Source organism: Homo sapiens, chromosome 11 (assembly GCF_000001405.40).
Source record: "Homo sapiens chromosome 11, GRCh38.p14 Primary Assembly".
NCBI lineage: Eukaryota > Metazoa > Chordata > Mammalia > Primates > Hominidae > Homo > Homo sapiens.
Window position 1 is genome coordinate 67,589,150 of NC_000011.10, and position 27,308 is coordinate 67,616,457.

At 51.1% G+C, this 27,308-nt stretch overlaps 1 protein-coding gene, 1 long non-coding RNA gene and 1 pseudogene across 4 annotated transcripts, besides 13 other annotated features; 1 reads left to right on the plus strand and 2 right to left on the minus strand.

Moving 5' to 3' along the window:
• Nucleotides 11,508-11,557: an enhancer, noted in NCBI's record as "active region_5112". NCBI's record gives its function as "activates an Ori minimal core promoter by ATAC-STARR-seq in GM12878 lymphoblastoid cells {active_cell/tissue: GM12878}" and the evidence as "EXISTENCE:reporter gene assay evidence [ECO:0000049][PMID:35858748]".
• Nucleotides 13,731-17,557, minus strand: NDUFV1-DT (NDUFV1 divergent transcript). Its single transcript, NR_130935.1, has 3 exons — nucleotides 17,470-17,557; nucleotides 16,744-16,862; nucleotides 13,731-15,954 (listed from the first exon to the last, which is right to left on the minus strand). It is a non-coding gene; the product is annotated as an NDUFV1 divergent transcript (long non-coding RNA).
• Nucleotides 14,339-15,024: an enhancer, noted in NCBI's record as "OCT4-NANOG-H3K27ac hESC enhancer chr11:67370959-67371644 (GRCh37/hg19 assembly coordinates)". NCBI's record gives its function as "activates a minimal SCP1, AML or CMV promoter by ChIP-STARR-seq in naive H9 embryonic stem cells {active_cell/tissue: H9 hESC(naive)}" and the evidence as "EXISTENCE:reporter gene assay evidence [ECO:0000049][PMID:30033119]".
• Nucleotides 15,711-16,396: an enhancer, noted in NCBI's record as "H3K27ac-H3K4me1 hESC enhancer chr11:67372331-67373016 (GRCh37/hg19 assembly coordinates)". NCBI's record gives its function as "activates a minimal SCP1, AML or CMV promoter by ChIP-STARR-seq in primed H9 embryonic stem cells {active_cell/tissue: H9 hESC(primed)}" and the evidence as "EXISTENCE:reporter gene assay evidence [ECO:0000049][PMID:30033119]".
• Nucleotides 17,296-17,355: an enhancer, noted in NCBI's record as "active region_5113". NCBI's record gives its function as "activates an Ori minimal core promoter by ATAC-STARR-seq in GM12878 lymphoblastoid cells {active_cell/tissue: GM12878}" and the evidence as "EXISTENCE:reporter gene assay evidence [ECO:0000049][PMID:35858748]".
• Nucleotides 17,736-17,865: an enhancer, noted in NCBI's record as "active region_5114". NCBI's record gives its function as "activates an Ori minimal core promoter by ATAC-STARR-seq in GM12878 lymphoblastoid cells {active_cell/tissue: GM12878}" and the evidence as "EXISTENCE:reporter gene assay evidence [ECO:0000049][PMID:35858748]".
• On the plus strand, nucleotides 17,787-23,405 carry NDUFV1 (NADH:ubiquinone oxidoreductase core subunit V1). 2 transcript variants are annotated; one of them, NM_007103.4, is made up of 10 exons: nucleotides 17,787-17,927; nucleotides 19,247-19,329; nucleotides 19,403-19,573; nucleotides 20,303-20,486; nucleotides 21,232-21,421; nucleotides 21,846-22,058; nucleotides 22,254-22,420; nucleotides 22,748-22,829; nucleotides 22,971-23,116; nucleotides 23,223-23,405. In NM_007103.4, exons 1-10 carry the CDS (start codon nucleotides 17,856-17,858, stop codon nucleotides 23,307-23,309), a joined length of 1,395 nt encoding a protein of 464 aa, NP_009034.2. In that variant the 5' UTR covers nucleotides 17,787-17,855; the 3' UTR covers nucleotides 23,310-23,405. The 2 variants fall into 2 exon arrangements, with proteins under 2 accessions (NP_009034.2, NP_001159574.1); NM_001166102.2 differs by having other exon boundaries at nucleotides 17,787-17,900.
• Nucleotides 22,584-23,783: an enhancer, noted in NCBI's record as "CDK7 strongly-dependent group 2 enhancer chr11:67379204-67380403 (GRCh37/hg19 assembly coordinates)". NCBI's record gives its function as "activates an origin of replication core promoter dependent on BRD2, BRD4, P300/CBP, MED14 and CDK7 cofactors, with strong dependence on CDK7, by STARR-seq in HCT116 cells {active_cell/tissue: HCT116}" and the evidence as "EXISTENCE:reporter gene assay evidence [ECO:0000049][PMID:35650434]".
• Nucleotides 23,753-24,268: an enhancer, noted in NCBI's record as "H3K4me1 hESC enhancer chr11:67380373-67380888 (GRCh37/hg19 assembly coordinates)". NCBI's record gives its function as "activates a minimal SCP1, AML or CMV promoter by ChIP-STARR-seq in naive H9 embryonic stem cells {active_cell/tissue: H9 hESC(naive)}" and the evidence as "EXISTENCE:reporter gene assay evidence [ECO:0000049][PMID:30033119]".
• On the minus strand, nucleotides 24,375-26,515 carry DOC2GP (double C2 domain gamma, pseudogene; annotated as a pseudogene). Its single transcript, NR_033791.1, has 5 exons — nucleotides 26,466-26,515; nucleotides 26,139-26,248; nucleotides 25,922-26,056; nucleotides 25,740-25,790; nucleotides 24,375-24,462 (listed from the first exon to the last, which is right to left on the minus strand). The product of NR_033791.1 is annotated as a double C2 domain gamma, pseudogene (transcript).
• Nucleotides 24,552-24,601: an enhancer, noted in NCBI's record as "active region_5115". NCBI's record gives its function as "activates an Ori minimal core promoter by ATAC-STARR-seq in GM12878 lymphoblastoid cells {active_cell/tissue: GM12878}" and the evidence as "EXISTENCE:reporter gene assay evidence [ECO:0000049][PMID:35858748]".
• Nucleotides 24,692-25,141: an enhancer, noted in NCBI's record as "active region_5116". NCBI's record gives its function as "activates an Ori minimal core promoter by ATAC-STARR-seq in GM12878 lymphoblastoid cells {active_cell/tissue: GM12878}" and the evidence as "EXISTENCE:reporter gene assay evidence [ECO:0000049][PMID:35858748]".
• Nucleotides 25,301-25,814: an enhancer, noted in NCBI's record as "H3K27ac-H3K4me1 hESC enhancer chr11:67381921-67382434 (GRCh37/hg19 assembly coordinates)". NCBI's record gives its function as "activates a minimal SCP1, AML or CMV promoter by ChIP-STARR-seq in naive and primed H9 embryonic stem cells {active_cell/tissue: H9 hESC(naive and primed)}" and the evidence as "EXISTENCE:reporter gene assay evidence [ECO:0000049][PMID:30033119]".
• Nucleotides 25,572-25,641: an enhancer, noted in NCBI's record as "active region_5117". NCBI's record gives its function as "activates an Ori minimal core promoter by ATAC-STARR-seq in GM12878 lymphoblastoid cells {active_cell/tissue: GM12878}" and the evidence as "EXISTENCE:reporter gene assay evidence [ECO:0000049][PMID:35858748]".
• Nucleotides 25,815-26,330: an enhancer, noted in NCBI's record as "H3K27ac-H3K4me1 hESC enhancer chr11:67382435-67382950 (GRCh37/hg19 assembly coordinates)". NCBI's record gives its function as "activates a minimal SCP1, AML or CMV promoter by ChIP-STARR-seq in naive and primed H9 embryonic stem cells {active_cell/tissue: H9 hESC(naive and primed)}" and the evidence as "EXISTENCE:reporter gene assay evidence [ECO:0000049][PMID:30033119]".
• Nucleotides 26,331-26,846: an enhancer, noted in NCBI's record as "H3K27ac-H3K4me1 hESC enhancer chr11:67382951-67383466 (GRCh37/hg19 assembly coordinates)". NCBI's record gives its function as "activates a minimal SCP1, AML or CMV promoter by ChIP-STARR-seq in naive H9 embryonic stem cells {active_cell/tissue: H9 hESC(naive)}" and the evidence as "EXISTENCE:reporter gene assay evidence [ECO:0000049][PMID:30033119]".

Consider the following 27,308-nt stretch of genomic DNA (forward strand, 5'->3'; position numbering starts at 1 on the left):
GCGAATGGGAAGCAAGGCACATCTTACATGGTGGCAGGGGAGGTAAGGGGGGAAGTTCCACATCCTTTTATACCAACAGAGCACGTGACAACTCACTGTCACGAGAATAGCAAGGGGGAAATTCGCCCCCATGATCCTATCACCTCCCACTAAGTCCCTCCCTCACCACGTGGAGATTACAATTCAAGATGAGATTTGGGTGGGGACACAGCCAAACCATATCACATACAAACTCCAGAACTTAAATCGAGTTCTCTGAGTTGAGCCGATCTGGACTGGGTTTGGAAGTTGTGGTAGAAGTTTAACGCATCCTGTAGGGAGGCTTCAGGTATCTGACTGGGTCAGACAGAAACTGAAATGGTTTTAGTGAAAGACCTCTAATAGGTAAGGTTCCAGGAAAACAAACAATTCTGGGCTCATTTAAATCCAGGGGGTCTGGGACTCCATCGCAGGACTTGTGCTCTTCTAGAGAGATGATTGAATCTTACCAAAAATAATTTAGAATTTTGGTGGCCACAGTGGGGAAGTTTTAACCTAAATAAAACTGCTCATCTCCAGAATGCATTGAAAAAAAAGAGGGGGGATCCCAAACACCCCAGAAATAATGGGTTGTATTTTTGGTTGGCAAGCAGAGGGTTCTAAGTTCTCCATCTTTCTCACTAGCCTCCTCTGAATCTGCTGACTTCTTTGCTTGGTTACCTTCCCACCTTGACGATGCAATGAAAAAAAACCCAGCTAGATAAGTTATACAAGTTAGGCTGTCAAATCAACCATGTCTGCTTCTTTACCCTTATGCCATAGTTAAAATCTTAAGCTCAGAGCAATAATAAAAGGTATCCCTGTCCGGCATAGAAAATGCTTTGTCTGCCCTATTTGTTAATGGGCTCCACCCTGACCTCAGTAATCTAGTTACACATATGTTGACAGGACCTGAGGAAGCTCAAAATTGGATGCAAGAGGCAGAATGGTATTGCTCTGAGGACAATATCCAAGGTCCACAAGCCCCTACTTGGTCCATATATAGGCCAGAAGAAACCCAAACTTTTGACCGGGTGCAGTGGCTCACGCCTGTAATCCCAGCACTTTGGGAGGCCGAGGAGGGTGGATCACGAGGTCAGGAGGTCAAGACCATCCTGGCTAACATGGTGAAACCCTGTCTCTACTAAAAATACAAAAAAATTAGCCGGGTGTGGTGGCAGGCACCTGTAGTCCCAGCTGCTTGGGAGGCTGAGGCAGGAGAATGGCGTGAACCTGGGAGGTGGAGCTTACAGTGAGCCGAGATTGCACCACTGCACTCCAGCCTGGGTGACAAAGCGAGACTCCGTCTCAAAAAAAAAATCGATGCCTGATAGCATTTTAATTTATCAGTTAGTCTGGAAACTACACGAGAAGAAAGAACAAAATACCCTTAAACAACTACCCCCGGCAGGGAGACTCATTTTCCTGTCTCTCCTGGCCTGATACGTTTTGCATAGCTCGCATTCTTCACACTGCTCTAAGCTACTTTTCTTTCTCATTTCCCTCTTTTGATAGATATTTTTCTCTTCTGAAAGCATTGATGATCGACATTTTTTTTATGCATATGATTTTTGTTCACTGTCACGTAAGATTCAGGAATCAATGTGTTAGATGCAAGTTTGTCCCATGTCACTGGGAAGGCTTATTCCCAGGCCATCTGTCCTACTTCAGAGAGAAAGAGGAGAGGTACCTATGGTTAAAGAATTTAGTGAAGGTGCCGGGCACGGTGGCTCACGCCTGTAATCCCAGCACTTTGGGAGGCCGAGGCGGGTGGATCACCTGAGGTCGGGAGTTCGAGACCAGCCTGGCCAACATGGTGAAACCCGTCTCTACTAAAAATACAAACATTACCCGGGCGTGGTGGTGCACGCTTATAATCCCAGCTACTCAGGAGGCTGAGGCAGGAGAATCGCTTGAACCTGGGAAGCAGAGGTTGCAGTGAGCCAAGATCGCACCATTGCACTCCAGCCTGGGCAACAAGAGCAAGACTTCATTTCAAAAAAAAAAAAAAAAAAAAAGAATTTAGTGAAGTCTCAAGGTCAAATTGATTAGAACCACAGAGGGACAAAGCAATGGGAACTCAGTCGAGCCATCCGCTTACAAAGGAGCCGTGACATGTGAGAGCATTTCTAAGCATCTAGCTATCATGATTTTATTTTTTGTTGTTGACTTAAGACATCTAGAAATGCAAAGCATAATCAATTTAAGAATAAAAACTACTGGCCGGGCACAGTTGCTCACACCTGTAATCCCAGCACTTTGGGAGGCTGAGGTGGGAGGCTGAGTTGGGCAGATCACTTGAGGTTAGGAGTTCGAGACCAGCCTGGCCAACATGGTGAAACCTGTCTCTACTAAAAACACAAAAATTAGCCAGGTGTGGTGGCAGACACCTGTAATCCCAGCTACTCAGGAGGCCGAGGCAGGAGATTCGCTTGAACCCTGGAGGCGGAGCTTGCAGTGAGCTGAGATGGCGCCACTGCACTCCAGCCTAGGCGACAAGAGTGAAACTGTATCAAAAAAAAAATATGATGCAAATAAAGACAGTTATTAACAAAACAAGTTGAAATCCAGATCTGAAAAGTGTTCTTATTTGTGAAGGTAACAAATCAAATAGATCATGTAATGGGGTTGGCTTTTTGACAGCTTGCAGCCATTTAGCCTTTTGAGTGATCCTTCCAAACCGAGTTTCCACTTCTCATCCAGGTTTGAAGAACAAGGTGACTGGTTGTGGTCAGCTTCGGTGGGAGATCTCTGGTGATGAAAGATGTCCACTCAGGTGGGCTGCCTTTTTAAAGTGAAAAAAAAAATGAGAATCCATGAGTCAATGCCCCTGATGTTAGCTGCACAAAGACTGGTTAACAGTACGTGACATGATCCCTTCCAACATGGTTGGAGGGAGTATTTTATTTGATGATGTTTCCAATAAACAAAATCTCCAGGTTGGAAGCTGTGATCTTTGATGTCTGTCTCCAGGGAGATTGCTTTTTAAAAGAATTCTTCATTAATTAAATTTTTTTTTAATTGAGAAGCTTTATAAAGGCCCTGGCAATCATGAAGTATAGCATTTTTAAGAAGAGCTAGCTCATAGACTTCTGCATTCAGGCACATGGCCTTCCTGTTATTTCAAAGAAAGAAAGCCGATGTTGTTGAAATGGGGTAGAGTGTGAATTAAGCAATACCAATGGGAGACTCTTAGGCCAGAGAAGTTTCAAGTTTCTATAAGCTTGGCCAGGCACGGTGGCTCACACCTGTAATCCCAGCACTTTGGGAGGCCGAGGCAGACGGATCACCTGAGGCCGGGAGTTCGATACCAGCCTGGCCAACATGGCGAAACCCGTCTCTACTAAAAAGTACAAAAATTAGCTGGGCATGGTGGTGGGTGCCTGTAATCCCAGCTACTCAGGAGGCTGAGGCAGGAGAATTGCTTGAACCTGGGAGGCGGAGGTTGCAGTGAGCTGAGATCGCGCCACTGCCCTCTAGCCTGAGCGACAAGAGGGAGACTGTCTCAAAAAAAAAAAAAGTTTCTATAAGCTTTGCCAATTTGATTTTTATTATTTGTGCATTTCACAAGTCTGGAAGACTGAGGGTGGTATGGACAATGGAAATGTTGAAAAATCAGCCATACGTTACAAATAAACTGAATTATTTGACCAGTGAAATGGGTTCATTAGTTTCCATGAAGATTGGAGGGAGCTCTCCAAGAAGGAATAGGGCAAGATTTAAAGTAGTCATGGTCAAAGATGCAATCAACAAAGAAATTTGGTCATTTTATTTTTTTGTGGCCTACTGAAACGGGAAGGGTTCCCTTGTCCCCCTTGCAGGGCATGTGATGGGGGAGTGGCTCGCTTCTTCAGTGCCCCGCTGCTCAGACCTGCAGGGGAGCATACAGATGGGCAGGTTGTGGGGCTCCAACCCACGGCAGCATCTAGGGGTGGATGTTTACAGCTCCTGAAGCCCTAGTGGGCATGTGTTACAGGGTGCTCTTTTAGTTTTGCCATCTATAGGCAGCTTGTGTTAACCAGCAGCTCAATTAGACCCTCTGCTTTGTTACAAGGACAGAGGGATTTCTGTATCCCAGGTTCTTGCCTTGGTGTACTGGAAGAATAGGATCACACCTGGGCTTGGAGAATGAGTGCAAGGTTTTATTGAGTGGAGGTAACTCTCAGCAGTTGGAGGAAGCCAGAAGGGCATGGAGTGGGAAGGTTTTGCCCTGGAGTCAGGCTGCTCAGCGGCCTGGGCTTGCCTTTGACTGCCCGGCCAAACTCCGCCTCGTTCTGCAGGTGGATGGCCTGCCGGCATGCTGGCGTCTGTCGTGTGCTCTTCCACCAGCCTGCTCCCTTCTGTGGCAGATTGGTCAGAGAGGTGGGAAGAACTATAGGGAAAGGACGCAAACCTTCTGAAAGGTGGGAAGGTTCTGCAGAGCCCTGGGGGAGAAGAACTGAAGGCAGCTCTTCTATAACCCTGAGGCAGAGGGCAAGGAGTAGGTACAAGGGAGTATGGGGGATTTTATCTTAAATAGGCATGTTTACTTATGTCGACCAGGAACTGACCTTAGATCATCTATGATCACCTATGATCATGTTTCAGGGAACATGAGGTTCCCTGAAAGGGGAATAATAAATATTAATGACTTACAGATTGTGTCGGCTCCAGGTTTTCGACATTGTGCCTGCACTGAATAAAAGCAAAGCAGCTCCAGCTTCTTCCACTAGAGCCAGGCAGTCACCTAGCTGCTCTTAACACTGCATACCTGTGTCTGGGTACTCATTTCCTCTGTTGGCCAGGGTCTGTGGGACAGAGCTGGCACCCCTCAATGACCTCTCAACGTCCAGCCACTTGTGTCTTCTTCTGCCAATGTGTTCCTCTCCACGTCCAGCTGCTTGTGTGTCTGCTTGCTAGGGTCTCAGGGTTTTTATAGGCACAGGATATGGGTGTGGTGGGCCAGGGTGCTCTTTGGAAATGCAATATTTGGGCAGGAAAACAAAAATGCCTGTCTTCACCCAGGTCCATGGGCACAGGCCTGGGGGTGGAGCCCTAGCCAGGGACTACACATTCCTCTACCCAGCACTTCCCTGCCCCCCTTCCGTATCACTATAATTCAACACAATACTTACAATAATGACTGATAATATATACCAACACATATCAGATTTTTAGGAATCTCATATAATTTTGGAACACATATTAATAACACATTTCACAAATATAACTCAAAGAAAGTTAAATGTCATTTCTTTTTTGACAATGCTTGCTGTGTAATTTTTACATGCCAAATAATACCAAGTTCTCTTGAACTTACATGGGTTTTTTTTTTCTTTTTCAAATGTTGAAACGTTAGTTTGAGGTCAAAATGGCTTAATTTAGAATTTGAATTTTCATTTTTGGAAGTTTGTCAAATACCAAAGCTTTAAAACACTTGATATTAAAATAGAAAAGGTTTAAAAGACTTGTTCAAAATAGAATCATGGGGAACTTCAAAATAATAGTCATTCATTTAGCCAAAGTGATAACTGAAAGATTTCAGAAAAGCTGGGTGTGGTGACTCACATCTGTAATCCCAGCACTTTGGGAAGCCAAGGTGGGAGGATCACCTGAAGTCAGGAGTTCGAGACCAGTCTGGCCAACATGGTGAAACCCTGTCTCCCCTAAAAATACAAAATTAGTTGGGCATGGTGGCAGGTGCCTGTAATCCCCGCTACTCAAGAGGCTAAGGCAGGAGAATCGCTTGAACACGGGGGGTGGGGGGAAGGTTGCATTGAGCCAAGTTCGCACCATTGCACTGTAGCCTGGGCAAAAAGAGCGAAACTCCATCTAAAAAAAAAAAAGATTTCCGAAAGCAAAAACCTTTATTGTTTGATAGAGAGGAGACTCAGTTTTCTAAACAATCCAAAGACCTAATGAAGGAAGCATAAGGCAAACTCGCTCCTCTTTTTTTATTTTTTTCACTTTGCAGTTTGCTCAAAAGGCAAACAAAAATCTTTTACAATCTCTTATTACTACTACATGAAAATCTCGTTTAAAAGAGAAAACTAAATTCTACCTTTACATTAGTGTATTATTAATGCTACAGCTAAAAATATAGTTATAATAAAATCTTGCAAACAGATCCATCTAATCTCAATCACTTTTGACCACTACTCAAGATAAAGTTTCTATATACCTTTTATACTCTTACAATGTTTTCCTTTTTCTTTTCTCTTTTCTTTTCTTTTTTTTTTTTTTTTTTGAGATGGAGTCTCGCTCTGTCACCCAGGCTAGAGTGCAGTGGCACGATCTCTGCTCACTGCAACCTCTGCCTCCCGGGTTCAAGCGATTCTCCTGCCTCAGCCTCTGAAGAAGCTGGGACTACAGGCACCCACCACCATGCTCGGCTAATTTTTGTATTTTTAGCAGAGACAGGGTTTCACCATATTGGCCAGGCTGGTTTCGAACTCCTGACCTTGTGATCTGCCCACCTCGGCCTCCCAAAGTGCTGGGATTACAAGTGTGAGCCACCGTGTCCGGCCACAATGTTTTTCATTGTCTTTCTTTCTCCAGCTTTGTTTATTCATTTGGCTTTATCTATCTCATATATATGATATGATATGATACACACACAGATGCATATATATACGTATGCGTATATATACACACACATACACGAACGTATATAATCATATATATTTCTTAATGGGATATATATATATAATTTTACAGATGGGGTATTGCTCTATTGTCCAGGCTGGAGTGCAGTGGCAAAATCAGAGCTCCTGGGCTCAAGCAATCCTCCTGCCTCAGCCTCCTGAATAGCTGAGACTACAGGCATGAACCACCATGCCCAGCTAATTTAAAAAAATTTATCAGGCCAGGCATGGTGGCTCATGCCTGTAATCCCAGCACTTCAGGAGGCTGAGGCAGGTGGATCACTTGAGCTCAGGAGTTTGAGACCAGCCTGAGCAACATGCCGAAACCTCGTTTCTACAAAAAATACAAAAGTTAGCCAGGTGTGGTGGCACAGGCCTGTAGTCCTAGCTAGTTAGGGGGCTGAGATGGGAGGATTGCTTGAGCCCGAATTCTTTTTGGTTTCTCCAATTTAAGTGTCTCCCACTTTTCTGACTTGTAATCATTAAGAACAAGGATTGCTTTGTTCCTAAAGCCCTACAAGCAGGATATGGACAACTGGATTAAACTTCAGAGAAAACCCCTCATGCCTGATGTAGGGAGCACTTGAGGAGTTTGCTGAAATGCCTTCTGCCATAAACAGAGATATTAAAACCACAAATCAGGAAAATATGCTTCAAGCTTCAATCTAGGAATCTTGATTAACTGACCCCTGGACTCAGAGACTATATTTATAGTTTGTTCTGGTTATCTCCCTGAGTGAGAACTGAGCCCATTCAACCCAGATTCATATGTTTGCAAGGTGTCTTTGAAAAGGAGAGAGAGAGAGAGAGAGAGAACAAGGTGAAGACACACTTGTTCCCGGCTGCCCAGGCCTGGAAGTGACACACTTCATTTCTGCCCCATTTGGATGCAAGAAGACTGAGAAACAGTTTAGCTCTGTGTCTGAGAAGAGGAAATGAGTTTGTGATATCTAGCCAGTCTCTATCACATACAACCAACCCATGCTTTAAAAATGAAAAATAAAATAAAATAAAAATATAAAACAAATCCATGCCTATCTTGGAACTCAGTATGTACTAGCAGTGGTATCATAAATAAGTTTGAAAAGAAGAGTTATTTAGATAGCATTAGTGAAACTGATTCCACCTATTAAGAAAAATTACTGGATCCTTACCTCACACCATATACAATAAAATCTAAACAGATCAGTGGTTCTCGAGAGGAGGCAATGTTGTCACCCAGAGGATATTTGGTAATATCTGGAGACATTTTTGTTGTCCCAACTTGTGGGGTGCTATTGACACCTAGGGATGCTGCTCAACATCCTCCAATGCACAGGGCAGCTAGCAAATAAAGCCCCAGTGGCCACAGTGTCAAGGTTGAGAAGCTCACAGCAAAGCCCCAAATGGCCATAGTGTCAAGGTTGAGAAGCCCTGCACTAGGGTTCACCTACACTTGAGAGAGAAAAATAAAATACTAACAGAAAAAAATAATTAAAGAAAGTTTCTTATGACCTTGGGCTAGGAATAGATTTCTTTTTTTTTTCTTTTTTTTCTTTTTGGAGTTTAAAACTTTTTATTTGGAAATAATTTCAAAGTTATAAAATGTTGCAAAAAAATTTTTTAAACTACCAAAAACAGCCATATTTACCGTTTACCCAGATTTACCTATTCAACATTTTATACCATTCACTTCATTATTTTCTCTCTCTCTCTCTTTTTTTTTTTTATTGATCATTCTTGGGTGTTTCTGGCAGAGGGGGATTTGGCAGGGTCATAGGACAATAGTGGAGGGAAGGTCAGCAGATAAACAAGTGAACAAAGGTCTCTGGCTTTCCTAGGCAGAGGACCCTGCGGCCTTCCGCAGTGTTTGTGTCCCTGGGTACTTGAGATTAGGGAGTGGTGATGACTCTTAAAGAGCATGCTGCCTTCAAGCATCTGTTTAACAAAGCACATCTTGCACCGCCCTTAATCCATTTAACCCTGAGTGGACACAGCACATGTTTCAGAGAGCACAGGGTTGGGGGTAAGGTCATAGATCAACAGCATCCCAAGGCAGAAGAATTTTTCTTACTACAGAACAAAATGAAGTCTCCCATGTCTACTTCTTTCTACACAGACACAGCAACAATCTGATTTCTCTATCTTTTCCCTGCCTTTCCCCCTTTTCTATTCCACAAAACCGCCATCGTCATCATGGCCCCTTCTCAATGAGCTGTTGGGTACACCTCCCAGACGGGGTGGTGGCCGGGCAGAGGGGCTGGCCCCCACCTCCCTCCCGGACGGGGTGGCTGCCGGGTGGAGACGCTCCTCACGTCCCAGATGGGGTGGCTGCCGGGCGGAGGCGCTCCTCACTTCTCAGACCGGGCAGCTGCCGGGCGGAGGGGCTCCTCACTTCTCAGATGGGGCGGCTGCTGGGTGGAGGGGCTCCTCACTTCTCAGATGGGGCAGCCGGGCAGAGACGCTCCTCACCTCCCAGATGGGGTCGCGGCCGGGCAGAGGTGCTCCCCACATCCCGGACGATGGGCGGCCGGGCAGAGATGCTCCTCACCTCCTAGACAGGATGGCGGCCGGGAAGAGGCGCTCCTCACTTCCCAGACTGGGCAGCCGGGCAGAGGGGCTCCTCACATCCCAGACGATGGGCGGCCAGGCAGAGACGCTCCTCACCTCCCAGACGGGGTGGCGGCCGGGCAGAGGCTGCAATCTTGGCACTTTGGGAGGCCAAGGCAGGCGGCTGGGAGGTGGAGGTTGTAGCTGGCCGAGATCACACCACTGCACTCCAGCCTGGGCAACATTGAGCACTGAGTGAACGAGACTCCGTCTGCAATCCCGGCACCTCGGGAGGCCAAGGCTGGTGGATCACTCGCAGTTAGGAGCTAGAGACCAGCCCAGCCAACACAGCGAAACCCCGTCTCCACCAAAAAAACCGAGATAGATTTCTTAAATAAGGCCCCTAAATGAATGAATTTAACTATATCAAAACAAAAGATTTCTCTTTTTAAATTTTTAATGGATACATTGTACTTGTACATATTTATGGAGTACAATTTGGTGGTTCCATATACATATATGTGTTTTATAATGATCAAATTAGGTAGGCTGGGCATAATGGCTCACATCTAGCATCCCAGAACTTTGGGAGGCCCAGGCGGAAGAATTGTTTGAGCCCAGGAGTTCAAGGTCCCCCTGGGCAACATTATGAGACCCCATCTCTATAAAAAATTAAAAAATTAGTGGGGTGTGGTGGTTCATGCCTGTGGTCCCAACTACTTTGGAGCTGAGGTGGGAGGATTGCTTGAGCCCAAGAGGTCAAGGCTGTAGTGAGCTATATTCCCATCACTGCACTCCAGCCTGGGTAATAGAGGGAGATCCTGTCTCAAAAACAAACAAATTAGGATATTTAGTGTGACCATCACCTCATGCATTTATCTGAAGTTTTCTCTTGTACAATGATCATTATTGTTTATTAGATTATCAGATAGATGATAAAGGAAATATTTGCAACATTTGACAGGAAGAGGGAGGACCTGTGGTTTTTAATGGTGGAGCTGGGATTCCCACTAATCCTTCAGAATACCCCAAAAGCCACAAAGACCATGAAAACCAAAACACACATTCCATCTAAATACACACTTTATCTCTTATGAAAGTAGGAGACTCCCAGCACTTTGGGAGGCTGAGACAGGCAGGTAACCTGAGGTCAGGAGATAGAGACCAGCCTGGCCAACATGGTGAAATCCTGTCTCTACTAAAAATACAAAAATTAGCCGGTCCCAGTGGCATGTACCTGTAATCCCAGCTACTCGGGAGGCAGAGGCACGAGAATCACTTGAACCTGGGAGGTGAAGGTTGCAGTGAGCCGAGATCGTGCCACTGTACTCCAGCCTGGGCGGCGACAAAGCGAGACTCTGTTTCAAAAAAAAAAAAAAAGAAGAAGAAGAAAGAAAGAAAGTAGGACACATCTCAAGTGACTACAGTTAAGAGCATCTGTGCACCAAGTAACATATCTGGGCACCTATACAACAAAAGCTCACAGATAGACAAGGACTCTGGCAGTTTTAAATAAGATTTCAAACTCTGCCATAGGAAAGCAGAGAGGCACCACCCTTCAATTGCTCTTGGGACATTTACTATAATAATTATGTATTATGCCTTAAAGGAAATTTTAGAACATTCCAGGGATTAAGAGGGGTGGGGAGAGGGAGAGAAATAGTACAGATGACAGTCTTTCATTATGAGGCAATAAAATGAAAAATAACAAAACCGGGAAACAAAATCCCCCTAACCCCTGTACATTTATAAATCTTTCTTAAAATGACTCCCGTCAAAGAAGAAATCAAAACCAAAATTGCAGAACATCTAGCGAATGATGATAAAGATGCACTATATGTAAGAACTATTGGTCTACTTGACTGGATTGCTATGGCTTTAGAATCAGTCTTGCTATCTGCCAGGGCGAAACCCACCACCCACCCCATCTTCTTCTTCAAAATTGTCTTGGCTATTCTTGGCCCTTTGTTGTTCTATATACATTTTGGTGTCAGCTTTCCCACTTCCATGAAAAGCCCTGGTGGGATTTTGATGGGAATTTGCAGTGAATTTACAGATTAATTTGAAGATGTGACACTTTTATGATATTAAGTCATCCACCTGGTGAAAGCCCTGTGAACCAGCCTGGCTCCCCCATCCTCCCAGCAGCTGAGGGGCCAACTGGCGGGGACTGTGGGTGCACGATAAAGGAAGGAAGCCATAAATACTGGCCATGGCCTCATGACCGGCTGCAGCCACAGAGGTCCCCTTCAATGTCCTTTGTGGCTTTGAGTTTTGCATAGTGGGAGGAAATTGTCTTTGCAAGGTGCAAAGTGGCCCCAGGAGGAAGAAAATGTAATAGAAGACAACTGCTCAACCTGTTTCTGATCATAAAAACTCAACAGTCTTTTTCTTTTTCTTTTTGCTGATTTATAAGATGAGGCCTGACATTTCTAAAACCTGAACCATTGAGGAATGGGGAAGACGAGTTTCACATTTCTCACAGCTTAGAAGGGGCGTTGAAGGGGTGTGTAAGCTTTTCCTGGTGTCTGTCATCCCAGATAGCCATCAAGGACTATGAGGAGTGAAAAAGAAGAGACTAGAGCTTTCGTGTTAAGGGACAAGAGCTTTTGTGTTAAGGGACAAAGGGGGTATAGGCAAGACTTCAGGTGACAACAGGGGGATGGGCAAAGGACCAATGCAGAAACAATCGTTACCTAGACCTGATCTTCTGGGTTTCCGGATGTGAGTTTGCTGCAGGGAGGCGCCAGCAGGACCGGACCCAGGGGACTGATACCGGTACCTGGGGTCTGTGTATGCCCAAGACCTCCCTGGTCCTCCGTGATGGAAACTGCAGACCATGTCTAATGCATCAGGATGGTATATGCCAAAGAGGGACCCTGAGACCCTGGCAGAGTGATGGAGAGTGGCCACACCAGGATGGCGGCGCGGAGGGTATTCCATGGCCCCTGAGCTGGGCCAGCAGGGAGAGAGGCCTGGGCCTGATGCGTCATTCATTGTGCTGCTTGCCTTAAATACTTTCACCTTGTCCTTTGCGTGCCCCACCAGCCGTGACTGATAGACTTTACTCTTTCCAGTTTAAATTCATGGAAAAAAAAGATTTCCAGTTCAAGACAGCAGGATACAACCTGAAACCCACTATGTCTTTCTCAAACACATCAAGACCAGAGAAGAAAAACTAGAAAAACTTTTTTTTTTTTTTTTTAAGACGGAGTCGCTCTGCCACCCAGGCTGGAGTGCAATGGCACGATCTCGGCCCACTGCAATCTCTGCCTCCCGGGTTCAAGGAATTCTCCTGCCTCAGCCTCCCGAGTAGCTGGGATTACAGGCACCTGCCACCATGCCCGGTTAATGTTTTGTATTTTTAGCAGAGACGGGGTTTCACCATGTTAGCCAGGATGGTCTCGAATTCCTGGCCTCAAGTGATCCACCCGCCTCGGCCTCCCAAAGTGTCGGGATTATAGGCGTGAGCCACCGCACCTGGCCTGTATTTCCTATTTAGCATTCTTTCCCTGTATTTCTTCTTTACTTTGTTTTCTTGTCTTCAGTTGAATTGAGGTTTTTGTGCTAGTCCCTTCTCCCCTACTATTGGAAGTTACACATTTTACTTTTATTTTTAGTGATTACTCTTAAATTTTTAGATCATACCTAAATTTCATGTCCAAGCAAAAGCTAATATCTCTATCCCCCTTCCTGAATATGAAGTGAAAACAAAAACAGAGTATATGTCCAGGCGCAGTGGCTCATGCCTGTAATCCCAACACTTTGGGAGGCCGAGGTGGGCGGATCACCTGAGGTCAGGAGTTCGAGACCAGCCTGGCCAACATGGAGAAACCCTGTCTCTACTAAAAAAAAAAAATAAATAGCCGGGCACGGTGGCGCATGAGTGAGCCGAGAGTTCACGAGTTCGAGAAAAAGTAACAATTTGGCCAGATTCGGTGGCTTACGCCTGTTATCCCAGCACTTTGGGAGGCTGAGGTGGGTGGATCACCTGAGGTCAGGAGTTCGAGACCAGCCTGGTCAACATGGTGAAACCCTGTCTCTACTAAAAATACAAAAATTAGCCAAGTGTGGTGGTGTGCACCTGTAATCCCAGCTACTTGGGAGGCTGAGGCAGGAGAATCGCTTGAACCCAGGAGGCAGAGGTTGCAGCGAGCTGATTGCACCACTGCACTCTGGCCTGGGTGGAAAGAGCGAGACTCCATCTCAATAAATAAATATTAAAAAAAAAATCACCTAGAAACAGTAACAGGTATTGTCAGGATGGTCATAAAATGTTATTACTTTCTTCTTGCTTTTTTGGTATTTCTTCAATTTCAAACACAGGAAAAAAATTGATGTTTTTCATTTTTCAAATATAATATTTGATTACAATATTGAGTAAGTCCCTCCCTTGAGAAGCTCTATGCTGGGGGTTGGGGAAGATCTGATCGTGCCTTACTCACACTGGGCCTGACAATAGGTGCTCAAGATAGTTGTATGGGGTTGTTGTAGGACCAACAGGTTTGTATGCCCATATGTATGCAGTAACAGACCAATTACACTGAGATAGCAGGGTTTGCAGCAGAGAAAGAGTTTAATGATTGCAGGGCACCAAGTTTGGAGATGGGAGGAGACCTTCAAATCCATCTCCCCAAGGAGTTTTGGACTGAATTTTTTAAGGAGATTGTGGAGGGCAAGGGGCTGGAAATTTGGGATTGTTGATTGCCTAAGCAAGGGGCATGAAATAATTGGGATTGGAAACCGCATTCTTTGGTGAGCCAGCTCCTCATGGGGACCAGTTGAGTCAGTAGTTTTATCAGCATGCAGGATCTGAAGGAATACTTCAAAAGGAAAATTTAGCATTTCATGTTCAAGTTGTTATTTATACAGCAGTTAAGGGCAGCTATAATCTAGGGTCTTTGTCACTCCGGGACAACAGGCACCAACCAGCCATGAGGAAGCAGGTCAGAGAGCAGCTGACCTCATGATGAATACTGAGTATGCTGCAGGCTTGGTTTATTTTCATCTTTTCCCCCTACTTCTTCCCTAATTTGTAGGGGTGGGTTGCCCCTACACACCTGTGGGTGTTTCTCGTAAGGTGGGACGAGAGATTTGGAAAAGAAAAAGACACAGAGACAAAGTATAGAGAAAGAAATAAGGGGACCCGGGGAACCAGCGTTCAGCATATGGAGGATCCCGCCAGCCTCTGAGTTCCCTTAGTATTTATTGATCATCTGTGGGTGTTTCTCGAAGAGGGGGATGTGTCAGGGTCACAAGACAATTGTGGGAAGAGGGTCAGCAGACAAACACGTGAACAAAGGTCTTTGCATCATAGACAATGTAAAGGATTAAGTGCTGTGCTTTTAGATATGCATACACATAAACATCTCAATGCTTTACAAAGCAGTATTGCTGCCCGCAGGTCCCACCTCCAGCCCTAAGGCGGTTTTTCCCTATCTCAGTAGATGGAGCATACAATCGGGTTTTATACCGAGACATTCCATTGCCCAGGGACAGGCAGGAGACAGATGCCTTCCTCTTGTCTCAACTGCAAGAGGCATTCCTTCCTCTTTTACTAATCCTCCTCAGCACAGACCCTTTACGGGTGTCGGGCTGGGGGACGGTCAGGTCTTTCCCTTCCCACGAGGCCATATTTCAGACTATCACATGGGGAGAAACCTTGGACAATACCTGGCTTTCCTAGGCAGAGGTCCCTGCGGCCTTCCGCAGTTTTTGTGTCCCTGGGTACTTGAGATTAGGGAGTGGTGATGACTCTTAACGAGCATGCTGCCTTCAAGCATCTGTTTAACAAAGCACATCTTGCACCGCCCTTAATCCATTCAACTCTGAGTTGACACAGCACATGTTTCAGAGAGCACGGGGTTGGGGGTAAGGTCACAGAATCTCAAGGCAGAAGAATTTTTCTTAGTACATAACAAAATGGAGTCTCCTATGTCTACTTCTTTCTACACAGACACAGTAACAATCTGATCTCTCTTGCTTTTCCCCACACTAATTGGTTTTATAAAGTTTATAGGGACGGTTGTAGGGTGGTTGCAGAAAGCTTCCTGGGGGAGGTGACGTCCAAAGGGCTCCTAGGAGGACTAGGGCCAAGTTGGGAGGAAGACAGATCCTCTGGTGCAGATCCAGCTTGTATGGGCAAAGCCAAAGGAGCTGGAACTGGGGAGGTTGACAGGTGGCAGCACAAAGGACCTTGAATGCCAGGCCAAAGGGTCTTGAGCTTTGTTCTGAGGGCAGTGGGGAACCACAAAAACTCTCAGGCAGGAAAGGGGCAAAACGGGTCTGAGATTTATAATAATCCCACTGTTCCATGTTTGCAGAGAAGGGGCTGGAGGAGCCAAGATGTGAGGGTGGGAGGCCCCAAGGATACATTGTTAATTTCAGGTGAGAGATGACAGGGCCACAGCCATCTATCACTGTGCAGGGAATGTTTGGAAGGTAAAGTTGACCAGATAGACACAGTGGATGTGGGGCCAGTGGGACAGGGAGGAGCCCTTGATACCTCTTGGCTTGTGGCCTGGAGGCTGGCTGGGGAGGCTGATATACAGAGTGACACAGGATGGGATGGGTGCTGAGGAGGTGAGAGCCAGGACCTGAGATGCTGCAGAGAAGGCTCCTGGGAGATGACATCAGAGTGGATCTCCTTCTTCGCTTGAGAAGCCTGGCAAGTAGGTGCTCCAGTGGGTGGGGACCAGTGGGGGATTTGTTGTTAGGAGACCTCAGGCCGAGTTCTGGCAGTTGTGTCATCCTGGGCAGGCCACTCAGCAATGCTGATACCCTGCTTCTGAAAACAGGGCTCATCATTCCTGAGGCTGGAGTTTTGGAGGATTAAGGAGGTAACACATGGCAAGTGCTTGGCCCAGAGCCTGGCACTGAATGAACAGAGGATCCTTCCCTCACTCTCCGTTTTCCATCCCCCCTCATGCCCAGCATCTCCTGTCCCCAGCATCCCCAACCTGCATCTCCCTCAGCCTGTATTCCTTTGACCCAGTTAGAGACAGATGAGGAAGGAATCCACCCGCTGGGCTGGCTCTGACCTGCCCCCCTTCTTCTGCCCCAAAGGGAGGGATCCGAGGACTCAGGTCTGAGCCCGGATTAGCTGTGTAATCCCCAGCTTTGCCTAGGCAACCTCTTTCCCTGACCAAGAGAGGGGGCCTGCGGCTGGCAGCCAGGACTCCTGGGCTCTGGGCCTGATACTACTCTATCTGTCTGGGAAACCTCAGACAGGGAAGAGATTTCTTGGTGCCTCTCTTGGGAATGTCACTGACGTCCACAGTGACTGTCACATGCGTGTCAGTTGTTCTGTGGGTTTGCTGTGTGCGGGGCACTGTGGAAAGGAAGAAAGGCCTAGATTCCAGTCCAGCTCCACCACTCAGCAGCTTCATGCCCACAGACAAAGGACAAAATCCCCCTGAGCCTCAGTTTTTTCGTGGACAAAATGGAGTGAACACCTTGTGGGGCTGCTGTGGGGTATGTGAGAAAATAGCTGCAAAGGAGTTTTGTAAACAGCACGTTTTAGAGAGATCAGGAAGGATGATTACAGCACAAAAGAACAGAGATGGTTCCTCACCATGAGGACTGGAAAAGAGCTGGGGAGAGCAGGCCAAAAAGGTCACTCTTATCACGAGGACCACAGCAGAGGGTTCCAGGAAACTGAAAAAGACGAGTTCATCAGGCTTCCAAGACCTCCTGGGAAGGCAAAGGACAGAGGGACCTCCTCAGGTCAGGGGAAAACCGAGGGAGGGGGACAGCCACACAAACGCCCTAAAGTCTAATGACGGCAGAAAGGGGTCTTGGGGGACGGGGGTGGGGTTCACAGCAGTGGCCTGGGCGTGATGACCCTGGCGAAGGACGGGGTCGCAGAGCCCTTAAATCCTGGACCAGTGGCTGATTCCAAAAGCAGCAGGGACCATGCCAGGATTTTGGGCAGAAGCAGAAAGTGCTGGACTCTCCTGACAAGAGCTGAGAGAACTCAGCGGCGCCAGCAAGAGTTTGTGCCGTGCACTGACCATCTGCATCCTCTCTGCCTCACCCCAGCCTAGGATTCCGTGACAGGCCCTCTGGGAAGAACTCCGCGAACAACCCCCTGCCTTGGAGTCTGCAATCCTTCCTCGAGCACACGGACGCCCGGGGTGGGGAAGCCCACAGTCTGGCAGGGCTCGCACTGGGCAGAATAATTGCAACGTAGTCATGAGGATCGGGCTATGACCTGCCTGACTTTTCACTCCTCCCATGATACACCGATGCATACCGCAGGTGCACACTAAACGCCGAATCTATAGAAAGTGGAACACACCAGGACCCAGCAGAAGGCGACATGCGAGGTTTGTTTACTTGTGGCATCAAAGGCTGGGAGCCGGCGAGCTAAGGAGGGAGCGAAAGAGCGAGCGGTGGGGACAGCCACCGCTAAATGCCAGCCCGGTGGAGGGAGGAAGGCGGACCCCAGGCCGGTGGGACCACATCTCCCAGAAGCCCCGGCGCCAAGGCACTGGCCTCTCAGTCCTCCCCCGAGGAGGCGGGGCCGCTGGCGAAGTTGAAGGGGCGCAGCGATACCGGTGCGCGGCGCTGGCGTCGGGCGCGTGACGTCTTTCCTGCGCGCCACCTAGCGTCTCTATCGCGCCAGTTCCTCAGCCTCAGTGCTATGAAGGTGACAGCGTGAGGTGACCCATCTGGCCCGCCGCGATGCTGGCAACACGGCGGCTGCTCGGCTGGTCGCTTCCCGCGCGGGTATCTGTGCGTTTCAGCGGCGACACGGTGAGGCCCAGCCTGGCTGGGGCCACGGGTGTTTGGGGCCGGGTGTCGCGGCCGCGCCCGTGCACGAGCAGTCCCTGGGGTCTGTAGTGGCCTCTGGAGAGCCCTTCTCCCCAGGCCAGGCGGGAAGGCCCCCGCTCCGGCCTGGTTGAAGTAGGGGAACGGGTCCCAACGCGGGGCCGACTCCCTTGACCCTCTGACTTGCTGGCTTCCCTTGTTTTACAGTCCTCGGCCTGGCGGAAGTTTTGCAGGTTGTGAAGACCCCTAGTCTTTCATTCTCTCCTTGTCACAGCCTTGTAGGGCGTGAAGGGGTCATTGCCCCATTTAGGGATGCGCACCTCCTGATTTCCCGTCCACTGCTCTGCGCCCTGAAGTGGCTGAAAAGTGCTCTTAAAAGGATGGGAATCCCGTCGCCCTCAGCTGGTGCGCTCTCCACTGGGTCGTGGGGCTCCTCATTTCATCCTAAGTGAGCCCCTCCATCACCTGTGTGTTAAGGAGGCATTTCTTTCCCATCAGTAAACACATTTCGCCTCTTCGGCCGAGGTAGGAATATAAAAGGCCCCTGGCCTACCCAAGTTTTGGTCCAGCAGGGGAGCCAGGCCGGGAAAGGGCCAAGCTGCCACACTCGGCTTGTGGGGCTGTGTGGTGCCGTGATGCAGCTGTGGGTTTGGCCACCGACAGACCTGGGCTCAAATTGGACCTGCTGCTTTTGACTGTGAGACCTTCCATAAGCTCCTTTTGCTCCAAGCCTCAGTTTTCTCCTCTGTGAAACAGAGAAAATCGTTCCTATCAGAGTTCTTATGAGGATGAAATGGGATTTTGGATGTAAAATGCTTCCATCCAGTACCTGCTAAACAAAATGCTTACTAATGGCCGGGCGCGGTGGCTCACGCCTGTAATCCCAGCACTTTGGGAGGCTGAGGCGGGCGGATCGCTTGAGGTCAGGAGTTCGAGACCAGCCTGGCCAATATGGTGAAACCCTGTCTCTACTAAAAGTGCAAAAATTACCCGGGCGTGGTGGTGAGTGCCTGTAATCCCAGCTATCCAGAGGCTGAGGCACAAGAATTATTTGAACCTGGGAGGTGGAGTTTGCAGTGAGCTGAGATTACGCCACTGCACTCCAGCCTAGGCAAAAGAGCAAGAGTCTGTCTCAAAAAAAAAAAAATGCTTACTAAGTGGCAGTGGTATCTATGATGCTATAGATGCTTCCCTAGCCCTAGCCCAGCCCCTCCTAAATAGGGAGACCCAAGATTCTGTAGCTTCTGGCCCAATCCCTCATGGCCCCAGAGCACTCTGGGCCTCCTGACCCTTTGTCTCCCTAGACAGCACCCAAGAAAACCTCATTTGGCTCGCTGAAGGATGAAGACCGGATTTTCACCAACCTGTACGGCCGCCATGACTGGAGGTGAGACAGTGCCCTTAGTGTGTTGGGTCCCGGAGCAAGGTGTCCCCTTCATTGCCTTCCCTATTCTGTCCAGGCTGAAAGGTTCCCTGAGTCGAGGTGACTGGTACAAGACAAAGGAGATCCTGCTGAAGGGGCCCGACTGGATCCTGGGCGAGATCAAGACATCGGGTTTGAGGGGCCGTGGAGGCGCTGGCTTCCCCACTGGCCTCAAGTGGAGCTTCATGAATAAGCCCTCAGATGGCAGGTGTGTGTGTGGGGGCGGGGCAGATGTGGCTGTGGGAGAGACCTTGGGGGTGGCTGGGGTTTCCCTGGGCCTTTGGGCTCTTTCCTTAGAAACTTAGCATGAATGAGGTGGGCACATGTTCCCAGGCCTTAAATGGATGGGACTTACTCTGTGGACTTCCACAGGGGAGACTTATGTAGCAGAATCAACACATGATTTTGACTCAGGCAGACTTAGTTCAAATCCTAGCTCTGCCTCCTAATCATAGAGGTTTGGGCAATTTCCCAGCCTTTGTGAACCTTAGCTTCCTTTTTGTAAATAGGTACAGTGATATCATGCAAGGATTAAAGAGATAATGTTCATACAGCTTTTGGCCTGTATGCTGGTTGGCACATAAAGCAAATGATAAATGTCACCTGCTTTACCTCCTTTTGATGGTAGAGCTTGAGGAATGCTCTTTGTCACCAAGAGTAGAATCTGGCTCTCAGGGGCAGACACAAGGAGAGATGTTTGGATGAGCTGAATGAAGACCTTTCTTGTGGTCATAGCCACCCAAAGACAGAATAGGCAGTGAGCTCCCTGTCATTGGTGGTGAGCAAGCAGAGCCCCTGGGACATGTTGGGAGGGCAGTAAAGGATTGGCTGTCAGAGGAGACATCTTTGAGGCCTCCCTGGGTGGAGTGGGGTGGCATGGAGTTGAAGACCCAGTCCTGATGGCCCTGTAGCCTGTCTGACCTGTGGGCCCCTGCAGGCCCAAGTATCTGGTGGTGAACGCAGACGAGGGGGAGCCGGGCACCTGCAAGGACCGGGAGATCTTACGCCATGATCCTCACAAGCTGCTGGAAGGCTGCCTGGTGGGGGGCCGGGCCATGGGCGCCCGCGCTGCCTATATCTACATCCGAGGGGAATTCTACAATGAGGCCTCCAATCTGCAGGTGGGTAGGGAGAGATGTAGACAGATGAGAAGGTGTTCAGTGTGCACTCACACACCCCTCACCCAGCACAGTTGTTCTGAGGTGTTAGTACCTGGTCTGTCAGTGGTTGAACTGGGGGAGTGGTGGCCAGTCCTGCATGCATCCCAAATGGGACTTGGCTCCCAAAGCCTCCTTCCAGGGCTCCTAATGCTGCTGGTGTAAATTTTTTTTTTTTGCTTCAAAAATATAGTATTTTTTATAAAACAAGTAGCAAGAAGAAAAAACCTAAGTGGAACTATGTGTTTAGCAAGAGAGCGGAATAATTATGAATATAAACAATTCCTATTTGGAGAAAATACATTATGTTCATTGCTTGGAACTATGAATAATACTTATATCTGTAGGAAATATAGAAAAATAAAATAGGTTAAGGCAATAAGGATATAGGCAATTACATTTTTATTTTAATTTTATAAGGACTTTTATTTTTCCTTTACAGACTAGGGTAGTTAGGAGACCTGATAGTAGCTACTTCGTTTTTATTTTCCTGGCAGCAAAGCAGCTTACTTATGTGTTCCTTCTTGCTTATCTGTTCCAGATCATAGTCAAGTTTTCCAATTCGTTTTACTAAGCTAGCAAAATTTTTTATACCAGGAGCATTAGGAGCTTCACCGTGGGAGGCCTTCAAGGGCTTCATGACTCCTGAAGTTATAGGCTGACTCCTGGGCTGGGGGTGGGCTGGGAAACTCACACCTTTGTCCTGCAGGTGGCCATCCGAGAGGCCTATGAGGCAGGTCTGATTGGCAAGAATGCTTGTGGCTCTGGCTATGATTTTGACGTGTTTGTGGTGCGCGGGGCTGGGGCCTACATCTGTGGAGAGGAGACAGCGCTCATCGAGTCCATTGAGGGCAAGCAGGGCAAGCCCCGCCTGAAGCCCCCCTTCCCCGCAGACGTGGGTAAGGCCTGGCGTAACCCTGGGTCAGACTGTGTCCTGTGACACCCGGGATCTGGCTAGGCTCCCTTTGGATTGTTCTTAGGGATTTCTGAGTGGCTTCCCGGCTGGGGCCAGATAGAGAGTAGGCTGGCAACAACACACAGGCTCCCCCAGGGCCGCCTGCTGTCCCTCCTCCTGCCTCGGTCCCCTCCGCACCAGTGCTGCTCTGTGGCTCCACCTTCACAGTGCCTGTTCTGAGGCTAAGGGCATGGGGTGAACAAGGCAATGGGCATCTCTGGAGTTTGGGGTCCAGCAGGGATAAGAATGATAAGGGGATATTAGAGCAGGGGCTCTGCCATGGGTGCAGGACCCTGGGACACACCTCCCTGCCAGGAAACTTGCCCCACCCCCTAGCAGCCACCAGTTCTCTTCCCATTTCCCTGAAGGAGTGTTTGGCTGCCCCACAACTGTGGCCAACGTGGAGACAGTGGCAGTGTCCCCCACAATCTGCCGCCGTGGAGGTACCTGGTTTGCTGGCTTTGGCAGAGAACGCAACTCAGGCACCAAACTATTCAACATCTCTGGCCATGTCAACCACCCTTGCACTGTGGAGGAGGAGATGTCTGTGCCCTTGAAAGAACTGATTGAGAAGCATGCTGGTAAGGCCTGGGGCCAGCCAGGTGGTGGGGGGGTGCGCAGTGGGGGCAGGTGTCCACAAAGAGAGCCTGGGCGGGAGGGCTCAGGAGACGGGGCTGGGTCTAGGGGCTGACTAAGGGCCTGGGCTCAGGACTAGGCAGGTGTGCCGGCCCCAGCCCTGACCATGCATCCCTTTGGGGACCGACTTGGGGCCCCAGGGGGTGTCACGGGCGGCTGGGACAACCTCCTTGCTGTGATCCCTGGCGGCTCGTCTACCCCACTGATCCCCAAGTCTGTGTGTGAGACGGTGCTGATGGACTTCGATGCGCTGGTGCAGGCACAGACAGGCCTGGGCACAGCTGCGGTGATCGTCATGGACCGCTCGGTAAGGGTTCACACACCAGCCCTGGTCCCTGCCCTCCTGGTTGCTGTCTCCCTCCCTGGGCCTCCCAGAAAACCCTCTTGCCAGCACTCAGGTCTCAGTTCCTGCAGCCTGAGATAAAGCAAGGTGGAAGAGGAGGGAGGAAGGCTGCTCTGAGGAGAATACCCCGGAGTCTGGGCAGCACAGGGGGCCCAGGGAGGCTGGAGGAGGCCAGAACGCTGGGTGGGCTGGGAAGAGCTTCTGGAACTGGGGGAGGGGCTGCTGCTAGGGGGCTGAGGCCCAGGCTTCTGTCTGGCCGTGGGTGCCTGCTAATTGCCCCTCGTCACCCAGACGGACATCGTGAAAGCCATCGCCCGCCTCATTGAGTTCTATAAGCACGAGAGCTGTGGCCAGTGTACCCCATGCCGTGAGGGTGAGCATCGGGCAGGTTGGGGGCTTGCTTGCTGTGGCTTCATTTAACCTCCTCCCCACCACGTGGCCTGCAGCCCTCAAGCGCCGCCCCACATCCTGGCTGGGGAGATCATCAGGCCCTCTCTTGTGGCTGTGGCTGCAGGTGTGGACTGGATGAACAAGGTGATGGCACGTTTCGTGAGGGGGGATGCCCGGCCGGCCGAGATCGACTCCCTGTGGGAGATCAGCAAGCAGATAGAAGGCCATACGATTTGTGCTCTGGGTGACGGGGCCGCCTGGCCTGTGCAGGTATTCACCACCCTTCTGCGTAGCACGGAGGGTGGGTGGCATCAAGGGCCCAGGGTGTTGGGGGATTTTTGGACTCTGTTTCACATGGTCCCCCCACCGACCCCAGGGTCTGATCCGCCACTTTCGGCCGGAGCTCGAGGAGCGGATGCAGCGGTTTGCCCAGCAGCATCAGGCCCGGCAGGCTGCCTCTTAGCCCACCACCCTGGCCTGCTGTCCTGCGTCTATCCATGTGGAATGCTGGACAATAAAGCGAGTGCTGCCCACCCTCCAGCTGCCGCTGCTGTGACTGTGCTCTTTACCCTTTACCCAGCACACGATCCTCAAGGGTGGGAGGGGAGAACAGGGTCCAGTCTGGCCCATGGCCAGAGAAAGGACAGGGTCTCATCTGGCTTGAAGGAGATGTTTATTTCGGCTCCATGATTTGGGGTGGGGTGAATGTGAAAGCGGGGAGAGAGGAAACACCTCTCTGACTTGGGGCTGGGCATGAGGGTAAGGCAGCCCCAGCCGCCATCATTTTTGTGGGGACGTTTCAGGCAGCTGTAGTGGAGGGGCGGCAGGCAGGGCCCATGGGCTAGTCGCTGAGCTGGACAGGCTTGCTGTCCAGCGGGTGCCACAGCTTCAGGCGGTGGTCACTGTGGCCCAGGCACTCAAGCCAGTGCCGCAGGCGCTCCCCACTGGCATGGCTGCCCAGCTGCACCCCGCCTGCCATGGGGGATGGGTCAGGAACCGCCAGGAGCCTACTGGGCCCCCACCCCAGCTCCTCATGTTCCCACTCACCAATGAAGTCATCAGCCGTGCCTAGGTCATAGTCCCACACAGACACCAGCAGCGTCTTCTGGGCCAGCTCCTCCCGTGGGCCTGAGTAAAAGAATTCCTGCAGGGAGAAGGGCAGAGAGGCGGGAAGGAGGCAGCCTCGGCTCTCCCACAGCTTAAGAAGCAGGCCACGGTAGGGTAGTGGCTCAGCATGTCAAGGCCAGGGTTGGCTGGGACCTGCCTGGCCCTGGCTCACCTCATTGAACTCGGGGTTCAGGGTCTTCCTGTGAACACTGGTTTTGAATTTAGATTTCTTCCCTGCATTTGGATGCAGGAAACTGATCGGGGAAGATTGGCGGGTTAGGTGTGGCCCTGGAGAGGTGAGGAGTCACCGCCTTATCCTCACCTCCCGCCTGCCTACCCCAGTTCACTCACAGGCGCACGAAGGGGTCCGAGTAACCATTGGCATCCATGGGGGCCAGGTGGGCGCAGCGCAGCACACCTACCAGCAAGCCACCCTGCTGAGAGCTGTAGCACAGTGACAGTAGGACGTGCCCACATTCCTCCCAGGCCACCTCTGTCTCCACCTCCTCCTGCAGGTGTAGGCTGAGGTCAGCCCCAATCCAGTCCAAAGCCCACCCCCTTTAGCCTCCGTGCTCTGGGCAGGAAAGCTCAACCTGGCCCCAAAGAAATCGGGGGCAACGACTTCATTTCCAATACAGCCACTTGCCCAGTGCCATGGAAGTGGCCCTATGGGTCAGCTGTACCCTCCAGGGCCTGACCAAAGGCGAGGCTTGCTGACCACATGACCAGTCAGATACGTCTGTCATGGAGGGGAAGCGAACTGGCTGACATGCCAGTAGCTCCCTAAGTGGCCTCCCATCCAGTGTGTGTAGCCACCCCTGTAGGCAAGCGGCTCTGAGAGGATGTTCACTTCCCAAGGAGAAGCAGATCTCTTCAAAACCCCACCCTCTTCACCCCCTATTTCCCTGGGGACCAGATGCTGAGTGTCGTTTGTCACACTCTGGGCCCTGGTGCTTCTGAACAGGCTCAGGGAGGAAGCCCGGGGAGGATGCACTGCTCTCACCCGCAGGGTAGGTTTCCATTTGCGGAAAGCCCCACCACCTTGCTCACAGGCGGTTCTCAGGAATGCGGAAGTGCTCTGTGGGCACCCACCATGCTCCGGGCGCTGTTGTGCTTGGGATCTGGGGCGGAGGGTACACGGGGCTGGCGCTGGGTGAAGTGGCCTGTCCATGCCACCTTGGTGGGCTTCAGCCACTTGGGCTTAGCTAATCGACAGCTGCAGCAACTTGTGGCTCCACCAGGGGGCGGGGCACCCGGCACTTTGGGGAGGAGCTGGTAGAGGGCCCCGCTCTCAGCCTCCCAGCTGCCTCCCCCACCGACCACAGGGGTTCTAACTAGGTCTTTGGTCTCTAGTGGCGTCAAACCCCTGCCAGTCACCCTCACTGCCTCCGGACAAGGGCCTGTCTAGGACAGCCTGCCCCAGGAGTGGCCCCCACACTCCCCTCAGGCCAGACCCCAGCCAGGGAGCCCCACCCATCTGTCCTCTCTTCCACCTCGCCCAGCCTCCCATCTCGGGCCGTGGACAAATGCCGCCAGTTTCAGCCTCTGCCTCAAGGCAGGTCTCTGCCCAGCTGCGCCCCCAGGGACTCTGCTTGTCCCAGTGCCCCACAGCTCCTCTGGGCTGCCCTGGCAAGGGAGTCACCCTCACTTTGTCACCTGGCTGTCCCCTGTGACAATGAGGGCTCACAGGGCCTATGAGAGCTGGCCTCAGGTTCCTCCAAGTCCCCTACGCCCCTGCCACCAGGCCTGCCCCCTCATCTCTGCTCAGCCCAGTTGTCCTACCCACCTCATAGAGGGACATGCCACAGGCTGTGTCCAGGCTCTTGGGCCTCTTGGCCTGAAAGGGCAGAGAGCCCGGTCATCCTGGCCAGATGCTGCCCAGATCCCCCTCCCTGTTCCTCCCCTCCAGCTCCCCCCATCACAGGTTCCTGGCCTCTGCAGTCCCACCTGTGCTCCAGCCCCACTCACCAGCCTCCGCTTCTCCAGACAGATGTCAAAGCTCCTGGCTCGGTTTGGCACCAGCTTCCTCAGGGGCACCCGCAGCTCCCCCAGGGAAGGTGCCTGCCACTGTCGCTGTACCATGGGTCCTCGCACACACACAGCCTGGTGGCCGCCCAGGTCAGACCTGGCCAGGCCAGCCCCATCCCTCTGCTCCACCCCCAGGTGGCCCAGGCCAGATCCTCACCTAAGGGTCTTGCACTCAGCATCCTGGCGGGTGAAGCCGTGATAGGTGAGTGTCTCCTCCCAGACAGGTACCCTCGTGCCCCGAACGGTGTGTGTCCGAAGCTGGCTGGCCTAGGGCCCAAGCCGGGTGGGTCAGGGCCTCCTAGGGCTAAGACCGTCCTGTAACCCCCAACCCTACCTCCCTGGTAGGACCCCCCACTATTTGCACATCCCAGCAACTGAGACCTAGGCCTTGCAGGATGGGGAGGAGCCAAGCAGAGCCAAGTGGGTGCCCCAGGCTGGGTGTTCCACCAGAGGGCAGCAGTGGGGGCCTGGGGCTTGCCCTCACCTTGCTGGCCCCTGGCAGCAGATTGGCTTTGACATAGGCATCCGCGGAGCCTGAGGCCAATGGCTTGAGGCCCTGGGAACAGACAGTGGGTATGAGACAGGCCCGTGCCCCAGCCCTCTGTCCCAGGAACACCCACCCCCATCCTCACCTTGGCACGATGAGCCGTGCAATGCAGGGCACTGTTGTCCGCTTCAAAAAGAAGTGTGAACTCCAGGGTGCCCAGGGCAGCTAGAGGCAGGTGGAAGGCAGCGTCACCTCCTACCTCAGCTCAGTCTGCCCCCACCCATGGCACGTGCTTCCTGCCTTGCCCCTCCATGGCCAGATGGTAGGGACACCCCACTCCCCCTCCTGGCTGGGCTGAGCTCAGGGTGTCCCCCTCTTCCCGCCCCTACTCACTGCTGTCGTCTGAGTCTCCTTCTGGCTCTGGGTCGGGCTGCAGCTGGGGTGCAGAGCGGACGGCGGACGCCGCTGCGGGGCGCAGGTTCGGAGGGTGCAGGGCAGGCTCCGCAAAAGGGTAAAAGTGCGGGAAGTAGTGGGAAATGAGGCGGATGGGCCGGATGGGGCCCGGGCTCACATCGATGGCCATGTGCTCCTGCATGCTAACCCGGGGAGGCTGCCCACCTGCTGCCGCAGTGCCCGCCATGGGGACCCAGACGGGGGGCGGTGGGCGGAGACTCAGAGAAATGCCTGAGGACTGGGGCTGGCGGGAACGCACCCGGCCTCGGAAATGGGGTGAAGAAGCATCGCTGATACCATGCAGGGACCTGAGGACAGAGCGCAGGGTTGAGGGAGGGGCTGGGGGAGTCCTCAGCCTGGAGGGTTGTGGCAGGCTTTGGAGGGGAC

Excerpts from the sequence above, each read along its gene's own strand:
- NDUFV1 (NM_007103.4), top strand. The coding sequence starts at position 17,856 with ATGCTGGCAACACGGCGGCTGCTCGGCTGGTCGCTTCCCGCGCGGGTA. Across the intron at positions 19,330-19,402 it reads TACGGCCGCCATGACTGGAG|GCTGAAAGGTTCCCTGAGTC; the intron begins GTGAGACAGTGC and ends TATTCTGTCCAG. Across the intron at positions 22,421-22,747 it reads TGATCGTCATGGACCGCTCG|ACGGACATCGTGAAAGCCAT; the intron begins GTAAGGGTTCAC and ends CTCGTCACCCAG.